The sequence below is a fragment of the Homo sapiens genome, chromosome 8 (assembly GCF_000001405.40).
Source record: "Homo sapiens chromosome 8, GRCh38.p14 Primary Assembly".
Classification (NCBI taxonomy): Eukaryota; Metazoa; Chordata; class Mammalia; order Primates; family Hominidae; genus Homo; species Homo sapiens.
Genome location: NC_000008.11, coordinates 116,256,080 through 116,275,109, shown reverse-complemented (window position 1 = coordinate 116,275,109; position 19,030 = coordinate 116,256,080). Strand labels below are relative to the sequence as shown.

Sequence of the window (19,030 nt, the reverse complement as noted above, 5' to 3'; positions counted from 1 at the left end):
TTGTACTAGTACTCTGCTGTTTTGATTACTGCAGCCTATGTTTCCATTCTTTTGAGAGGATCAGCTGGGTGGTTCATATTTTTTTTGTGATTACATACAATGCCTCCATGAACCTTCTTTGTACATGTCTTCAGGAACACATGTGTGAAGGTTTCTCTAGCTTTGATTGTGCAATAGAATCAGCTGGAGTGATTGTGACAACACAGATTGCTGGCCCCTCCCTGAGACCTCCTGATTCAAATGGAATGTGTGGGCCCAAGAATCTAAATTTCTAACAAACCCTCAGGATATGCAAATACTGGTGCAGAGACCAAACTTTGAGAATTGCTGCACTAGGGTTGATATCCATGGGTGAAATTCTTGGCCATTGATGTGTATATGTTTTCCACTTTACTAGGAATTCCTAAACTGCTCTCCAGGGTGTTGGTACTAATATAGGCTCCCACCATCAGTGTATTCCTATTTCTTACTACCTTGCCAAAAATTGATGTTGTAAGTCTTTAAAATTGTCAATCCAAGTGATATCTCTTTTTATTTTTTTTAATTAATATTGACATTGGGTGTCAATATTTCTGATGTTTAATGGTCTTTGCTTTTTCTTTTCTGTGAGTTACATATACTTTGTTTTGTTCCCCTAGTAAGGCTGTTTATTTATTTATTATATGGTTTGATATTTATTAATTTTATTGTTTTGTAGAATATCTAAGTATTCTGATTATTAATCCTTAATCTTTTATTTTTCCTGTTGTTTCATATATATATATATATATATATATATTTTTTTTTTTTTTTTTTTTTTTTTTTTTTTGAGAGAGTCTCGCTCTGTCACCCAGGCTGGAGTGCAGTGGCATGAACTCAGCTCACTGCAACCTCCACCTCCTGGGGTCAAGCATTCTCCTGCCTCAGCCTCTGGAGTAGCTGGGACTACAGGCACCCGCCACCATGCCCAGCAGATTTTTGTACTTTTAGTAGAGGCAGGGTTTCACCATGTTGTCCAGGCTGGTCTCAAACTCCTGACCTCAAATGGTCCATCCACCTTGGCCTCCCAAAGTGCTGGGATTATAGGCATGAGCCACTGTGCCTGGCCTGTTTATGATATTTTTGATGGAGAGAAGTATAAAAAGTTAATGGAGTGAATATCAATATTTTCTTTTGTGATTTTTGCTTTTATAATGTTTAAGGTTTTTTCCCTACCATGATGTCATAAAGATATATCATATATTTATATACTAAACATTTCTACTTTTTTCATATTTAGTTTTTAATTTATTTGGAATTTTTAATTTATATATTTTATAAGGTAAAAAGCTGATTTTTGGAGGACCCTGTAGAAACAGAGGGTGTCTTCATTATATGTCCCGGGGGTCCTGGAGCAGTTCTAATCCTTGATCTTTCAGAAGAGGAGCCAAGATGGTTAACTAGACGTAGCCAGGAGGAACATCTCCCACCAAGAGACTGAGCTGTCAGGAAGACTGGTACATTCTGAGCAGATCTTTGGAGGGAAGGCATTGAGAGTGGATGGAAGGATGATGCAGACACTGGGCTGAAGAGGAAGGAAGCTGGGAACCCTGTACAGGACTACCGAGCACCAGGACTTGTTTCTGGCCCCCTGCAACTCCTGGGAAAGGGGTGAGTTGAACAGGTTAGAAGTGACCTGCTCTTGCCACTGATCTCTGGAGTCCAGGCAGCAGGAAACCCCATAACTCCCATGGAGAGCTAGCAGGGAGAGCTACTTAGAGTGGTGGTAAGGGCAGGACTCCAGCCTGTGCAGAGCCCAGAGGTTTGGTGCAGGAACATCTGTGATGAAGCATGGGCAGGGATGCCCATTCCTCAAGGCCTGCCATGCTCCTCTAGGAGATTTAAGCCTTAGAGGGACTGTCAAACCTGCACTGAGCCATGGCAGTCTTACTTGTGAGACAGAGTCAGTCTGATATGAGTGACCCGTCTGCTGGCCTCTCCCAGAGCCCTATCCTGGCCACACCTTCTTGCAGCACAGTCTTGGATGCCCAACCAGGGTGCTTCCCAGGGGCATTCATCATAACTCCTTCAGTGGCAGACCTCACTTGACCATGGGAGACCTCCAGCAGACTGGCCTCCATCGACACACACCAGCCCACCCACATTCACCACTCACTGCAGCCTCCCCAAGCCCCCCACCCACCACCTTGCTGCATTGTTAGCACACACTCACACACAGCCAACATCCACTGTTTTGCTGACACACACCCATATGTGGACCTTGCTTCCCCTCCCTCACCAGTATGCATGGCTGCCCACACCCTACTGTGCCACTATCATCAGCACAAGTATGCACCACATCCCCTCCCTACCCTGCTGACGTATGGGTACCTGGTCATACTGCAATTGTCTGCATGAAGGCATGCACAGATACTGGCCCTGCCTCCACTGTGCTGTGGCTGTGAACATGCCGGACCCCTACTACTACTACTTCTGTTGGAGTGAGTGCAAGCACAGACACCAGCAAGTCAGGCCCAGCCAACTCCCTATTCCTGTCCTTGCCAAGCTCCATGACTGTTGGTGCAAGCTGTATGCAGGAACATCACAGCCCTTCTCCCACCATTACCCTGCCCCAGCTGACATGTATGCAGGCAACCACACTACTGTGGCTGACAGCATGAGTGAGCAAGCATGGATTCCACTTCCCTTGCCCTGACAAAGCACTTTGTCCTGCACCATGCATCAGCACCACCCAACACACTAGCATCCATTCTGGCCAGCAGATGGGGAGCACCTTCACCCCTCCAGTGCAGCAGGTTTCTAATCTCAGCAGGCCAGAGAACAAAGCCAGTGGCCTGGTACCAGCCCCAAGAGTTAGAGCACACAGCCCTGGAGTGCTGAGCTGATACTTGGCTCCCTAAAGTCTTCCAGAAACAGAGTCAGTTGAATGAACCCACATTATTCCAGGTGAACTTCCAAAGACATCAAAGAAGATGAAAGCAAAAAACTCCATCCAGAGGACAGCAACTTCAAAGATTGAAGGAACATCAGCCCACACAGATGAGAAAGAACCAGAACAAGAACTTTGGCAACTCAAAAAGCTAGAATGTTTTCTAACCTCCAAATGACTGCACTAGTTCCCCAGCAATGGTTATTAACTAGGCTGATCCATCTGAAATGACAGAAATATAATTCAAAATATAGATAGGAATGAAGATCATTGAGATTGAAGAGAAAGTTGTAACCCAATCCAAGGAATACAGGAGCTGAAAGACAAAATGGCCAATTTAAGGGAGAACCAAACTGATTTAAGCTGAAAACCTCACTTCAAGAATTTCATAATACAATCACAAATATTAGCAGAATCAACCAAGCTGAGGAACAAATCTCAGAGCCTGAACACTGGTTCTCTGAAATAACTCAGTCAGACAAAAATAAAGAAAAAAGAATAAAGAAGAATGAACAAAACCTCTGAGAAATATTGGATTATATAAAGAGACCAAATCTATGATTCATTTGTGTCCCTGAAAGACAGGGATAGAAAGCAAGCAACTTGGAAAACATATTTGAGGTTATTTTCCATGAAAAATTTCACAACCTTGCTAAAAAGGCCAACACTGAAATTCAAGAAATGCAGAGAACACCTGTGAGAACTATATAAGACAAATATCTCCAAGACACATAGTTATCAGATTCACCAAGGTCAAATTGAAAGAAACAATCTAAAAGCAGCTAGAGAGAAGGGACAGGACACTTACAAAGGGAACTCCATGAAGGTAATGGTGGAACTTTCAGGAGACCCCTACAAGCCAAAAGAGATTGGGGGCCTATATTTAGCATTCTTAAAGAAAAGAAATTCCAACCAAGAATTTCATATCTACCAAAACTAAGCTTCATAAATGAAGGATAAATAAGATCCTTTTCAGACAAGCAAATGCTAAGGGAATGTATTACCAACAGACCTTCCTTACAAGAACCCTTAAGGGCGTACTAAATATGTAAAGGAAAGACCACTGGTCACCACAAAAACACACTCAAATACATAGACCATTGGCACTATAAAGCAACTACAAAAAAGAGTCTGCATAATAACCAGCTAACAACATAATGATAGGATCAAACCTGCACTTATCAATATTAACTATGAATGTAAACAGTCTAAATGCCCCAAGCAAAGGCACAGAGTGGCAAGTTGGATAAATAACCAAGACCCAACTGTATGGTGTCTTCAAGAGACCCATCTCACATGCAATGACACCTATAGGCTCAAAGTAAAGAGATGGAGAAAAATTTACCAAGCAAACAGAAAAAAGGAGGGGTTGCTATTCTAATTTCAGAAAAAGCAGACTTTAAACCAACAAAGATCAAAAAAGACAAAGAAGGGCATTACATAATGGTAAAGAGTTCAATTCAACAAGAAGACTTAACTATCCTAAATATATATGCACCCAACACAGAAGCACCTACACAGAAGCACCTAGATTCATAAAACAAGTTCTTAAAGACCCACAAAGAGACTTAGATAACCACACAATACTACTTGAAGGCTTCAACACCCCACTGACAGTATTAGACAGATGACTGAGGCAGAAAATTAACAAAAACATTTGGGACCTGAACTCAATACTTGACCAAATAGACCTAGCAGACATCTACAGAACTCTCCACCCAAAAACAACAGAATATACATTCTTCTCATGTGCACATGGCACATCTAAGATTGAATACATAATCAATCCTAAGACAATTCTCAGCAAATTCAAAATAACCAAAATCATACGAACCACACTCTTGGACATCAGCATAATAAAAATAGGAATCGATACTAAGAAAATTGCTCAAAAGCACATAATTACATGGAAATTAAACAACCTGCTCCTGAATGACTTTTGGGTAAACAATGAAAGTAAGGGAGAAATAAAAAAAATTCTTTGAAACTAATTAAAACAAAGATACAGGCTGGGTGTGGTGGCTTACACCTGTAATCCCAACACTTTGGGAGGCTGAGGTGGGTGGATCACCTGAAGTCAGGAGTTTGAGACCAGCCTGGCCAATATGGCAAAACCCTGTCTCTGCTAAAAATACAAAAAAAATCAGCTGGGCGTGGTGACACATGCCTGTAGTCCCAGTCCTACTCAGTAGGCTAGGGCAGGAGAATCACTTGAACCTGGGAGGTGGAGGTTGTAGTGAGCCGAGATCACACCACTGGACTCCAGCCTGGGCAATAGAGTGACACTCCATCTCAAAAACAAAGATACAGCATAGCCAATATCAGAGCTAAACTGAAGGAAATAAAGACAGAAGAAACCATACAAAAGACCAATGAATCCAGGAGTTGGTTCTGTGAGAGAATAAATAAGATTGATATAGCACTAGCTAGACTAATAAAAAAAGAGAGAAGATTCAAATAAACACAATCAGAAAAAACAAAGGGGACATTACCACTGACCCCACAGGTAAACAACAATCCCTTAGAAATGACAGCAAACACCTCTATGCACACAAACTAGAAAACCTAGAAGAAATGGATAAATTCCTAGGAACGTGAAACCTCCCAAGATTGAATCAGGAAGAAATAAAATCCCTAAACAGACCAAAAATGAGTTCTGAAGTTGAATCAGTAATAAAAAGTCTACTATCCAGAAAAAGCCCAGGACCAGATGGATTCAGAGCCAAATTCTCCCAGATGTAGAAAGAAGAACTGGTATCATTCCTACTGAAACTATTCCAAAAAAATTGATGGGAAGGGACTCCTCCCTCCCTCATTCTGAGGCAAGCATTATCCTGATGCTAAAACCTAGGAGAGACACACCAAAAAATGAAAACTTCAAGCCAGTATCCTTGATGAACACTGATGCAAAAATCCTCAACAAAATACTAGCAAACTGAATCCAGTAGCACATAAAAAAGATAATCCACCACAATCAAGGCTTCATCTTTGGGATGCAAGGTTGGTTCAACAGACACAAATCAATAAATGTGATTCACCAAATAAACAGAATTTAAAACAAAAACCACATGATCATCTCAATGGATGCAGAAAAGCCTTTCAATAAAGCTCAACATCCCCTCATGTTATAAACCCTCAAACTAGGCATTGAAGGAAAAGGTCTCAAAATAATGACCATCTATGACAAATCCACAGCCAACATTGTACTGAATAAATGAAAGCTTGAAGCATTCCCCTTGAAAACCAGAACAAGACAAGGATGCCGACTCTCACTGCTTTTATTCAACCTAGTACTGGAAGTTCTGACTAGCCATAGCATCAGGCAAGAGAAAGAAACAAAAGGCATGCAAATAGGAAGAGAAGAAGTCAAACTCTCTATTTGCAGATGACATGATTCTGTATCTACAAAACCCCACAGTCTCTGCCCCGAAGCTTCTAGATCTGATAACTTCAGCAAAGTTTCAGTATACAATGTACATAAGTCAGTAGTATTTCTATACCCAATAATGTCCAAACTGAGAGCCAAATCAAGAACAAAATCCCATTCACAATAGCTACAAAATGAATAAAATGCCTAGGAATACAGCTAACCAGGGAGGTGAAAGTTCTCTACAGTGAGAATAACATCACACTGCTCAACAAAATCAAAGATGAGACAAACACCTGGAAAAACATCTCTTGCGCATGGATATGAAGAATTAATATTGTTAAAATGGTGATCCTGCCCAAAGCAACGTACAGATTCAATACTATTCCTATGGAACTACCAATGACAGCCATCACAAAATAAAAAAAAAAAGAGTTAAAAATTCATACAGAAGCAAAAAGAGCCTGAATAGCCAAAGAAATCCTAAGCAAAAAGAACAAAGCTGGAGGCATCACATTACCCAACTTCAAACTATACCACAAGGCTGCAGTAACCAAAACAGCATGACACTGGTACAAAAACAGATGCATAGAGCAATGGAACAGAATAGAGAGCCCAGAAATAAAGCCACACACCTACAACTATCTGTTCTTCAACAAAGCTGAGAAAAAGAGGCAATGGAGAAAGGACTCCCTGTTTAATAAATGGTGCTGGGATAACTGGCTAGCTATATGCAGAAGATTGACACTGGACTCCTTCCTTACACCGTATACAAAAATCAACTCAAGATGGATTAAAGACTTAAATGTAAAACCTAAAACTACAAAAGCCCTGGAAGATAACCTAGAAATACCATTCTAGACATAGGCTTTAGCGAAGATTTCATGATACAGATGCCAAAAGCAATTTCAATAGAAAGAAAAATGGACAAATGAGGCCTAATTAAACTAAAGAGCTTCCGCACAGGAAAAGAACCTATCAACAGATTAAACAGACAACGTATAGAGTGGGAAAAAGTATTTGAAAAACTGTGCATCTGACAAAAGCCTAATATCCAGAATCTGTAAGGAACCTAAACAATTGAATGAGCAATAAACAAGCAACCCCATTAAAAAGTGGGCAAAGGATATGAATAGATGCTTTTCAAAAGAAAGACATACACATGGCCAAGAAGCATATGAAACAATGCTCAACATCACTAATCATTAGAGAACTGTAAATCAAACCACAATGAGATAGCATCTCATACCAGTCAGAATGGCTATTATTAAAAAGTCAAAAAATAATAGCTATTATTACAAAATCAATACTGCTGTTGGAAATGCTGGCAAGGCTGTGGATAAAAGAGAATTCTTATACACTGCTGTTGGAAATGTAAATTAGTTTAGCCATTGTGGAAAGCAGTGTGGCAATTTCTCAAAGAACTTAGAACTACCATTTGACCCAGCAATCACATTACTGGGTATATACCAAGGGAATATAAATCATTCTACCACAAAGGCACATGCACATGTATGTTCACTGCAGCAGAATTCACAATGGAAAAGACATGAAATCAATGATGAACTGGTTAAAGAAAATGTGGTACATATACACCATGGAATAGTATTTGGCCATAAAAAAAATGAGATTATGTCCTTTGAAGAAACATGGATGGAGTTGTAGGCCATTATCCTAAGTGAACTAATGCAGGAACAGAAAAACAAACACTTTCTCACTTAAATGGGAGCTAAATATTGAGTATACACGAACGCAAAAAAGGGAATAAAAGTCACTGGGGCCTACTTGAGGGTGGAGGGTGAGAGGAGGGTGAGGGTCACAAAACTATGTATCAGGTACTATGCTTATTATCTTAGTGACAAAATAATCTGTACGCCAAATCCCTGTGACATGCAATTTACCTATATAATAAACCTGCACATGTATCCCTGTACCTAAAATAAAAGTTTTTTTTTTTTTTTTTGAGATGGAGTCTCACTTTGTCGCCCAGGCTGGAGTGCAGTGGTGCAATCTCGGCTCACTGCAAGCTCTGCCTCCTGGGTTCACACCATTCTCCTGCCTCAGCCTCCCAAGTAGCTGGGACTACAGGCGCCCGCCACCACGCCTGACTAATTTTTTGTATTTTTAGTACAGATGGGGTTTCACCATGTTAGCCAGGATGGTCTCGATCTCCTGACCTTGTGATCTGCCCTCCTTGGCCTCCCAAAGTGCTGGGATTACAGGCATGAGACACCGCGCCTGGCCAAAAGTTTTTTTAATCTGATTTTTTCTTTCTGTTTGGAGAATCAGTTACTACCACTGTCATAACTAAATTTCCACATATTTTTCATCTGTTTTTAGACTACTTTGTCTATTCTGTTGATCTTTTCTCTATTTCCAGAGCCAATACCATACTTTTCAGTTACTCAAAATTTCTAGAAAATTTTAATATTTGATAGAGAAAGTCTTCTTACCTTGTTCCTCTTCTTCAAAATAATCTCATCCCTCCTTGGTCCTGACAGGGCTTAATTTGTCAAGTAGGGTTTACATTTCTGTTGGCTCTCTTTATTTGGAATTGAAATGTTTTTCTGTAGTATTATGTGTGCTTATTTGGAATTCATTCCTTTTTTGTAAAAATCTCAGGTGGATTTAAGAAAAAAAGACCAATGAAATAGAAATGAGAGAGAGAGAGAGAGAAAGAGATAGAGGGAGAGAAAGGAAGATTGAAGGTAAAAACAAAACAGAGAAGGAAAGTATGCTAGCCATTAAATCATAAGATTATTAGAATTAAGCATAAAACTTTCTTAAAACTTTTCTAATAAGGATGAAGAGGTATGTCTAATAAATATTTGAGTCCACTGACAGAAGAAAACACGTAAGTTTTATGATGGAAAACATTTGTATTCTAATACTAAACTCTGTCAGAAAAGTCTTAAATGAGGCATTTCATAGGAAATATTTTTAAATAATGTCTTGAAAAATAATTAATAATTACAGAAATGCAATTCCTATGGTGGTAGTAAATAATATTTTAATGTTATAAAACTTGATAGTAAATAGCCAACATTATATCATCTACCCTTTCCAGTGTTCCACCTTGATTCATAGATGGAAATGAGAATACTATCAAAGGCTTTAAGTAGATACGATTTTTCTCTAACTTGGCAGTTGGCAAAGTAGGGCCCTTGGGTCAAACCCATCCCACCTGTTTTTGCAAATAAAGCTTATGGGAACACAGCCACACCCATTCATCTACATATTGTCTATGGCTGCTTTCCTGTTCCTAATGGCAGAGTTGAGTACTTGTGACAAAAACCATATGGCCCACAAAACCGAAAATATTTACTATCTGGCCATTTCCAGAAAAAGTTTTGCCATCCCCTGGTCTAAATTATCATCTTTTAAGTTATTTACTCTGTATTTACTCTAGGTACATTCCCCCAACCTCCTTTATAGCACCTGAGAGTATAAACCAAACATGTAATGTGCACATGGTGGAGATGAGGCCCTTCGTCCACATAATATCTTGATGTCTTGACTCAGGAAGAGAATTCACTCTCCTCTCTCCACTCTTCTTACCCAGGGATTCCATCAACCTAAGAAAAAATAACTGAAGGAGCACAAAGATATTCCACGTTCTGAATTACAGAAGTCTTCTAATTAGCCTCAGCACCATGTTTTTGTTGTTGTTTTCTTTTACTATGCCTGGAAAGCAGTTCTGGCTCCTACCTTCCATGCCTCCCTTGGTCTCTTAGCCTTGGCTGTCCTTTCTGGACTCTCAATGAGCAGGCCATGGCAATTCTGAGATGGCACCTTTCTCTTCATCTGGGCTTAAGGTCTGGTCAGCCTTGTGATTTTTGTAACTTCCTTTCCCCATAGGCCCATTGCTGAATTCCTTTCAGCTCCCTGATGTTAAGTCAGCTTTGTTAAAATATTTTTTTAAGGACTGGTTAACTGAACTGTCACAACTCCAAACTGGCAATATATTCCAGTGGAAAAAGTAAAGAATTTAGAGCTAAAAATCCTGTTTTTGAGTTCTCAACCTTGACGCTTACCAGACAAATGACCTTGGGCAGCTTGCTTAAAACTCTGAGACTCAGTTTTCTCATCTGCAAAATGAGGATACTAACAATGCTTGTCACACCTATTAGGGTGATTGTGAGAAACAAATGAGATATGTGAAAAAAAATTGAAACTATAAAATTACACACATGTGTTCATCATTATCACCAGCTCTCAAAAGCTCTCTCAACAATTTTTCCTAATCTCTAAAGACATTTTACTTGTATTCAAGAATGAGTCCATTAATTCTCCATTGCATCCTATGTGCCAAAGGGCCTCACCATTGCTTTAGCATCTGTGTTTTTTTTGGGGAATGCCCTGCTCTTCTGGCACAGCCACTACACTAGGAATTACTACTCCTGGACCTGAGCATCTCATATCTGTGGTCTTTGGTAGTTTGAGGGTGAGGGTCAGATAAAAATGTTTCTCTTGTTTCTCACAAATTCCACATTTCATTTCTCATGGCCCTGGACCCCAAAGTGGTCCTGATCATGCTTACAGTCTCACATGCTCTTCAATGAGTTTAATTTAATTTCTTGCCCCATTCTTGTCTGAGCTCAAAAACGGAAGATGGAGGCAAAAGGGGGAATGGGGATAAAAATACTATTGTACCCCGAAACAAATACTTCCCAGTATCTGCATCCCTCCAATTTCTGTCCTTAGCACTCAAATTTGTGTCCAAAATTTCCTTCTTCCTGAGATTGGGTCTCTCTTCCCATCTCTATCCTGCCTCTCTTCTAACTCCTTTAACACCTAGGAGGAGCAACTGGTAATCAAATTCTCATTTCAGGATATAAACAGGGTCACTTGCATGACTGGGTAGGGTTACTCTCTATTAAAAGATATGCGAGGTTCTTTATTTTTTATTTTCATTTTTCATTCATGTCATTTTGAGCATGTGCATTGTTTCTTCTTCTATCTCCAGTATCATGGAGTAAGCTCAGGAGTAGTCAAATTACAAGATTTGGATGTGAGCTCAGGGGATGGCAGAGACCCTCATTGGCTTTTAGGGAAAGCTATCTATCACAAGCCTGCTTTACTAGAGCTCTGCATTGCAAGTTGGAATAAGGTTAAATTAGATAAGAGATAAATGAAACTCCTTTGCTCTTAGTGACTACTCCTTCTGTACCTAATTCCCCCAGGGCCCACAGACAGGAGGAGCAACTCAGATGTCCTTGTACCAGCAATAGCTCACATAGCTTATATTTATGCATTTATATAAATAAATGACTAGAGTGGTCACTGGCCCACTGGTTTCTGCAAATGGTTACTTTCTGTGTCCCAGGTTAGGCTCAACTGGGACACCGTGTTACAAGCTGTAATCCAAATTTTCTTTAATTTTGAACTAACTGCTTTCTACAGAAAGGAAAAATGAAGATTACAAAAAAAAGACCATGATATCTTTGCCAGATAAAACATAATTTGCTTTATTTTTCCCCTTTGCCCCATTAAGAGATTTATTATCTTCTATTTATTTTCAGCACTTCCCTTCATTTCTGGGAAGTCAAACCTGCCTAAATCATTATTGCATCTGAACAGAGTTTTACAGACAGATTTCCAGTACTGGGCTCAAATAATAGGCTCTACTTGGCATTTCATAATGGCCCTTTATGGCACATAGAAGGGCAGTTCTTCTTACGTGTTTCCTGAGAAGCAAACATGAGTGGCCCCAGGGGTCTAGAGGCATTGTCGAAAGCAGTCCACCACAAATTTTAAATTTCTTTGTGATCATATATTATGGAAAATTTGCATTCTACATCATGATATATCTGTCTTTCTGTATATACAAAATGCCTTAATATTTTAATTGACATTTCGGGCAGGTGTGCCATTTTTATCCTGGCACACTTGTGCTGACTACTGTTTACTGTTAGAGGGTAGATGCATCCCCAGTTTGAGATACATATGGCTTGTATGCAGGAAAATGGGACTTGAATCTTGATTCTTCCACTTTTAGACATCTGTGAACGTGGGCACTTACCCTCTTAAGAGTATAGATCCTTCTCTATAAAATGGGCTGTTGTAATGATGGAGTCCACAATTGGGGATTCTTTTTTTGTTAAGTAATTGCTCAATGTTAAAAGCGAAGGGCTGATTAGAACTAATGGGGAAGTCTGAACCCCAGAACATTTTGAAGATAATTAAGGGTGGACATTTTCATGAAACTTAAATTGCTGTCATTTTGCAAGAGCTACACTTTACCATATTTGTTCCTTGGGGATTTTTATAGTACTTTTCCTCATAGGAGTGCCCATCTTAGGAACAATAGTTCTCAGGAAACTTCTAAGACAGCTGCCAGCCCCAGGCTCTCAGACTTGCCTCTAGTGAACCCAACTCAGTAAGTGCTTATAAATGAACTTTTCTATTTCCATCACTTACCAAGCACTATGGTAGATGAAAAAATTGTGAGCTATGGTCCATTCTGTCAAGGATCTGAAGTCTTGTTGGAGGAAACCCATGAAGCAGTTTTAAGAATTCTTCAATAATAATATAAGAATATGTAATAATGCAATATATAAGAATATGATAGTGCACATATATCAAGGGCCTACTGAATAATTAGCACTTTTTTTTTTTTCTAATTCTCAAAATGACTCTGGAAGAAAAAGACTATTGTTTCTGTTTTGCTGATATGGAAATCAGGGGTCTAACTCAAGACTGTACCATGATGTGCCAAAACGAAAAAGTAGATTTAATAGAGTTATATGCTAGCTGACATATCCTACTGCACTGAGTTATTCTCTGTTAATGGACTTTACTCAAACTGATTTTTGAACTGGAGTATTTGGGGCCAAATGGAGATAAGAATGATGATAACCGCTCAGTTTCCAGAAGCAAAGCCGACGTGAGATATACTCAGTACTTGCTGAATTGACCAAAGAGGTTGATTGCTATAAAAACAAAACAAAACAAAAAATTCTAAACTCAGCATTATGGCTTACATTCTTCTTTGCATCACCTTCTGACATCTAGCATAGTGCCTGGAACACAGCCAAAGAGACAGAAACTATTAATGCTCACTTATATCCATGTGCTACGTCACCTTCCTCAGTCTCCTTTGCAGTTAGATCAATCACGTGACGCTTCAGGCTGATGGAAGGACTGAGATTGTTAAGAATCTTAACCACCTTTCTCTTTCTCTCTTCCCCCAGGGTTTTAGCCAGATGATACCAAAATGACCCCAGAACCAGAAGATGGCAGAGCCACAAAGTGAAAAATACTTGGGTCTCTGAATCATAGCTTGGAGGAGGGCTTCCTGGAAAACCATCCCAACAGAGACATCCGCATTAAACTTTGTGTAAACAAAAAATAAATCTTTCTTGTGGTAGGCCACTGAGATTTAGATTGCTACAGCAGCTAACCGATCTGACCAATACAGCAGGTACTGAATAAAACTTGCCATGCGAGAGACATTTGTGTGCTTCACATTAAAATAACTTGGGAAATTAAAAAAAATCCTGACGTTCAGATTAAGGACCAATTAAATTAGAATCTTTAAGGATCAATTAAATTAGAGTCTTTAGGGGTAGTATCAAGGTATCAGTTTTTTTTTTAAACTTCCTAGGTGATTCATTATATGGCCAAATTTGAGAACTATTGTGTTGTATCAGTGACAGTTACAATGTATGGTTTACGGATCTTGTTAGAAATAACAAATTATTAGATCTCTAGACCTTTGGAATCAGGTTCTCTTGGAATTTATATATTGGCAAGTTTTAATGGGGAGGGGCAGCAATTCTCAAGTATATTAAAGCTTCAGAAGTACTGTGCTACAATATTATGCTCTAGTGATTCTCAAAGTATTGTCTTCTGACTATAATCAGAGTTGTCTGGAAATGCTTCCTAAAAATGGATTTCTGGGCCTGATCCCAGGACTTCTAAATCAGGATCTCAAAATGTGGCTTGATACCTACATCCCTAAATAATTTTCTAGATAATTCTTGGTTCACTGGAATTTCCACTTATCAGTTACTGACACCATTGCCCTTTCCCTAGAATGTGCTTTCCCACAACTCCTCCTGCCAACCGCCAAGTCTCTTTGATTCCCACTTATAAGATTCAAGAATGGAAGGGCAATGATTTTCTATTTTTAATCCCTGTATTTTCTTTCAACAGAGAACTCCTCCAGTGCTCTCAAGTGTTTTACAGACCACTAATTATTAAATGTGGAAGCTCTGGAGCAGAGAACCTTTCAACTGAAATGATGACAAACGATGCTGGCTGAGGAGAGTCAGACCTGAAAAGTTAGGAATCCCTAAAATGACGTCAACCTATAATTCCTATTACAGAGCTCTGATTTCTACTGATCGTTTTAGGAACCATATCTACTATGTGAGAAAAGCTGCTGGTGGGCCTAATTTAGATGAAAAGCAGAAAGGCCTTAAAAAAGAAATGGGAAAGGAATATACAGAAGCAAGAAGATGATTGAAAAAAGATGGCAATTCATGTGGGTACATTGGATAGGGTCTGGTTTGGGGAGTGTGCTTTGGTTATGGCTAGGGATTTTGCAGGATAAAGAGAGAGACTCTATAATAGACCTTTTTGATCAGAGAAAATAAAAATCTCATTCTCTCCCAATTCCTCTTTTCTCTTTCTTTTGCTCTCTCATTTCTTGAAGTCAATGTTGGGAGGATATGTGGGTAATTCCTATGGCTACTAAAGAAGCTGACTCTAAAACTACAGACAGCAGTAGACTTTGTGCCTTCTGTTTTTGCCCCTATTTCATGTTGTCATTATTCTTTCATTTTTTAAATATCTACAGGTACTTGTTGAACACCAGTTCTGAGCTGCAGAGCAGGAGGCACAAGACGTAAACAAAAAAGTCTCTGTTACGGTCCTAAAGAAGCCAATCATCTAGAGAAATGTATGCACAGCAGGTCCAGCAGAATGGGCTTTGCGCTGATGAGGGAAGCAAGAGGAGAGCATGGCCTGGGAAAGGAGATGATCAGGCTCACTTCCCATTTCTCTGTGGAAGAACCGTGGCAAACACAGAGTCAACTCACAACGTTCATTGGAATTTTTCCCACTTGACTCCTTCGCAAGTTGGAATAAGGAGTTTGGAAAGGGAGGATTTCTTCATATAAAAATGGTCTGGGTATATCCACGCAAAACTAAAGGGAGTGGAAGAGACCCTAGGTCTACACATTTGATGGGATAGATCCTTCGGGCTCAGCCTCACCTGCAGGTACTGAAGGAAGCCTTAGTCTGCTATACAGAGCACTCTGCACCATGGGGAGAAGATCAATATGCTAAACTTGGGTACTGGGCCTAAATCTTACGAAGTGACCTCAAACCTAGGAAGGTAAGTGAAACACAATAATGGGCAATATGCAGGCAGTTGGGCCAGGAAGGCCCTAGTCACTCTGTTAGAGTTAAAGGTTGGTTTCTTGTCCCTGGGAAGAGGCATGAGAAGGAAGCTGTATAGCATGGTAGCTGGAAGTTTGCAATTTGGAGTCAGGTGGACCTAAGTTTAGATCCTCACTCTATGGCTTTACCAACTACATGGCCTTGGGCAAATTACTTGACATGTTGAAGCTTTTATTCCTCCATCCTGAAATAGTTACAATGTGTACTTATATGCACACATCTATACACACATATACACATACATACTTTATAAGGTAGCTGTGAAGAGTAAATGAGACAATGTCCTTAAAGGACTTAGCAGGGTCCCTGACTCAGGATGAAAAAACAATTATCACTACTTTTCATGAACCATGTAACCCTTGGTGGCTAAAAGTGAAGGACAGGGATATGGAGAAAATATGCCTGAAATACTCTGCAAGTTATAAAAAAATGACGAAGAAAGAGTCCCAATTTTCCATAATGCATAGAACCATAACACACAAATGAGGCAGAAACCCAGATACCTTAAACAGGCACCCACACAGGAGCATGGTGACAGTGAGGATAACTTATTGCTGGCCCATAGCAGTGTGGTTGGAAAATGTGTAGAGTTTGGACCCAGATTTCAATCCTATATCTGTACTGTACTAGCTGTGTGACAGCTTCAAGTTACTTAGCTTATAAAAAGGGAGAGCATAGTGTGGAGATAAAAATGCTTGCCTTTCATAAATTAAGTGAAGAACAGACACAGAGGCCTATGAGGCGGTACATGGTTGAAACTCACAAAGTGGCATTATCACTGAGCAGGAATGGGGCTGAGCCTCCATGGGGGCATCTACTTTCTCAAGCCTTGGGAAGAGAAGAGATGCAGCAGCCTGCAAGGCAAGGAGAGTTGGCTTTAGTACTTAGAAGTAACTAAAAGTTAGACATTATTTTTGTATTTTCCAATGCCTTCCAGGGTTCTCAGTATATGCAGCAAAATTTGTCAACTGCTATATTTAACTTCCTTGAATATGCAAACAGCTTGGATTCCACACCATGGTGAAGGCCATACACTACTTACAATTCTGACTTGGCTTCCCTGTGTTCTCCACTGTATACCTAGCTTCAAAAGCGATTCTTCATCCCTACTGCCTCCCAAGTTCAAGTTCAGTCTCCAGTATATCCTGTTAAGGGCACACCACTAAACAGTGCTTTTCTTTCTTTTTCTTTTTCTTTTTCTTCCTCCTAGCTGACACAGGGGCTTAACAGATTAATGCATTAGTCCTTAATACCTTCTCCTTCTAAGGCCTGGTTCAAGTCAGAGCTCTTTGATTAGCACTAGCTCTTCCAGTACTGTACTGAGCTAGTTTGCATCTCAGTGCTTCTGGCATTTGTTCCTGAGAGGGAGGTGAGAAGATTAAAAAAAATAAAAACAACTTACAGAGTTTGCAAGATCACATCATCTAGTGATAAACCATTTAAATGTTCACATTTTCTGACTGGGCAAATATAAATGATCAATTTCCCACACAAACAATTTATTTAAGAAGGGAAATATATATGTATGTATATAAATACCACTGCTGGTGGGTGCTAAAGAATATGGTTTATTTCAGCAATAGGTTCTTGAAACTTAGTAGTTTCACCGAATTATTGGTGTAATAAATCCCAGAGGGGTTTGTTATAGCATTAACCGCCCACTATGTACTTCAAGCTATTAATCAATACACCAGCCATTAGTTACTGGCAATTTATGATATTTTAAAGATCACTAAATATTTTTGGTTACAATTTCTTTCTATCTTTTTTCTTTTTTTTGCTGCATTTATAAGAAAGATAGACATCTTTAGCTGATCAGATGTGTTTTCCCATGCAGAGTGTCACTGGGATTTAATAGGCAGAGATTTACTCAGGAAAAAAATATTTCTGTAAATCAACCAGCCAGAAAAATATCCTTCTAACTATTGAAGAAGGAAAAGTGAAATGTGAGTGTTTCATATAGTGACTCTCCTGCATATATATGTCTTCTTCCTGGGCGCCTTGTTTGTAAATGCTACTAAGAATGGCAAATGGATGACTATAAAACTGCCTCCTGCAAATGTCCTTAGTGTAATTTGAAGGCATGCCATTTTGTAGGAAGTGTTCCCCAAAGACACGATCCTCTGAACCTTGGAAGTTTTTCTTGTCTTAATGTTTGCTTTTTTTATCTGTACTTGGCTCTGTTTCTTTCCATACACTTTGGCATGGTCTCTGTTAGAATAACATGGAGTTTATGCTTAGCTTGAGGTCACATTGACTATCAAACTGCAAATCAACAGGGCAAGAAAAATGGCTGTTCAGCCCTGCTTTCCAGAGAAGAGCAGCAAGAGCAGAAACTTCATGTTCCCTGGGCAGCAAATAGGCAGGCCATTTCTTATCATGAGGGAATTTCCTCTTAAAGAAATGTTCAATAGGTGCACATGTGCTAATTCTGTGTTATGCTTTCCAGTCTCTAAATTCGGTCAAGTAATTAAGCAGTTGTTCTCAGGTGGAGTTTATTCCTTCCCTCCTCTGACTTTTTATTCTAAATTTAATTCATAATCACTTTGGTGGATTATGCCACAGGACAATTCCTTTATGCCATATTGGTAGCTGAAGTGCTACCTCTTTGAATAATAGTAATATTAGGCAGTTGGTTAGAAATGGTACACCTGATATCTCTTAGTATTGATGGTCTCTTCTTCCAGTGGGATTTAGGGAGCTACTGCAGTTTCTTTAATATTCATTTCAAGAACAAATCTATTATGAATTTATCCACCCCAAAAATTAAAAATGAAGTTAGCAAAAATGATTTTTTTTTTTTTTTTAGTTTCCTAAGTTAATTTCTACAAAGGCTTTCTCTCCTTCGTTATTTGGCTCAATGACTCAAGACTATCTATGTCTAGTTTCTTCTGGAAGAGAAAGTTTGGTTTGTCTCACTTTGCCATTAAATTGAAAACACTGAATAAATATTAATAATAATACATTAATGAGTAAGAAATCTTACACAGAATTAAACTGCCACCAGAGCATTTTTTTTTCAGGCTTTCAAATTCGGAGATAATGTTACCAATAAGAGATAAGATTGGTGATAAAGGATGGACAACAGGCACTTAAGAAACTCACATAAACTTGAAACATAATGCTTATAGAGCCACAGGTTATCCACAAATTGGAGGGCAAGAATGTGGGGGAGGTGGAGGAAACTGAAAATCAGCGTCTAATATCTTCAGTTTAGAGTCCTGAGGTCAGCAGGTGTAATTTGAAGCAAATGCCCCAATTTGCATCTCATGGGATGAAATACTGACCCAGCCCCTGAGGCTTAAAAGGAAGTGATGGATTGTCAGGGTGGTGGTGAATGGCTTGCA

General features: G+C 39.3%; 1 long non-coding RNA gene across 1 annotated transcript in view, besides 1 other annotated feature; it reads left to right on the top strand.

Annotated features, from left to right (window-relative positions):
- The window catches only part of LINC00536 (long intergenic non-protein coding RNA 536), a 374,549-nt gene that overhangs the window by 49,950 nt on the left and 305,569 nt on the right, over positions 1-19,030 (top strand). The window contains exons 2-4 of the long non-coding RNA NR_046215.1: positions 1,398-1,629; positions 14,433-14,763; positions 15,079-15,618. This is a non-coding gene — a long non-coding RNA (long intergenic non-protein coding RNA 536). The remainder of the gene's footprint in view (positions 1-1,397; positions 1,630-14,432; positions 14,764-15,078; positions 15,619-19,030) is intronic.
- Positions 162-456: a silencer, noted in NCBI's record as "tiled region #9276; HepG2 Repressive non-DNase unmatched - State 24:Quies". NCBI's record gives its function as "represses a minimal TATA promoter and a strong SV40 promoter by Sharpr-MPRA in HepG2 cells {active_cell/tissue: HepG2}" and the evidence as "EXISTENCE:reporter gene assay evidence [ECO:0000049][PMID:27701403]".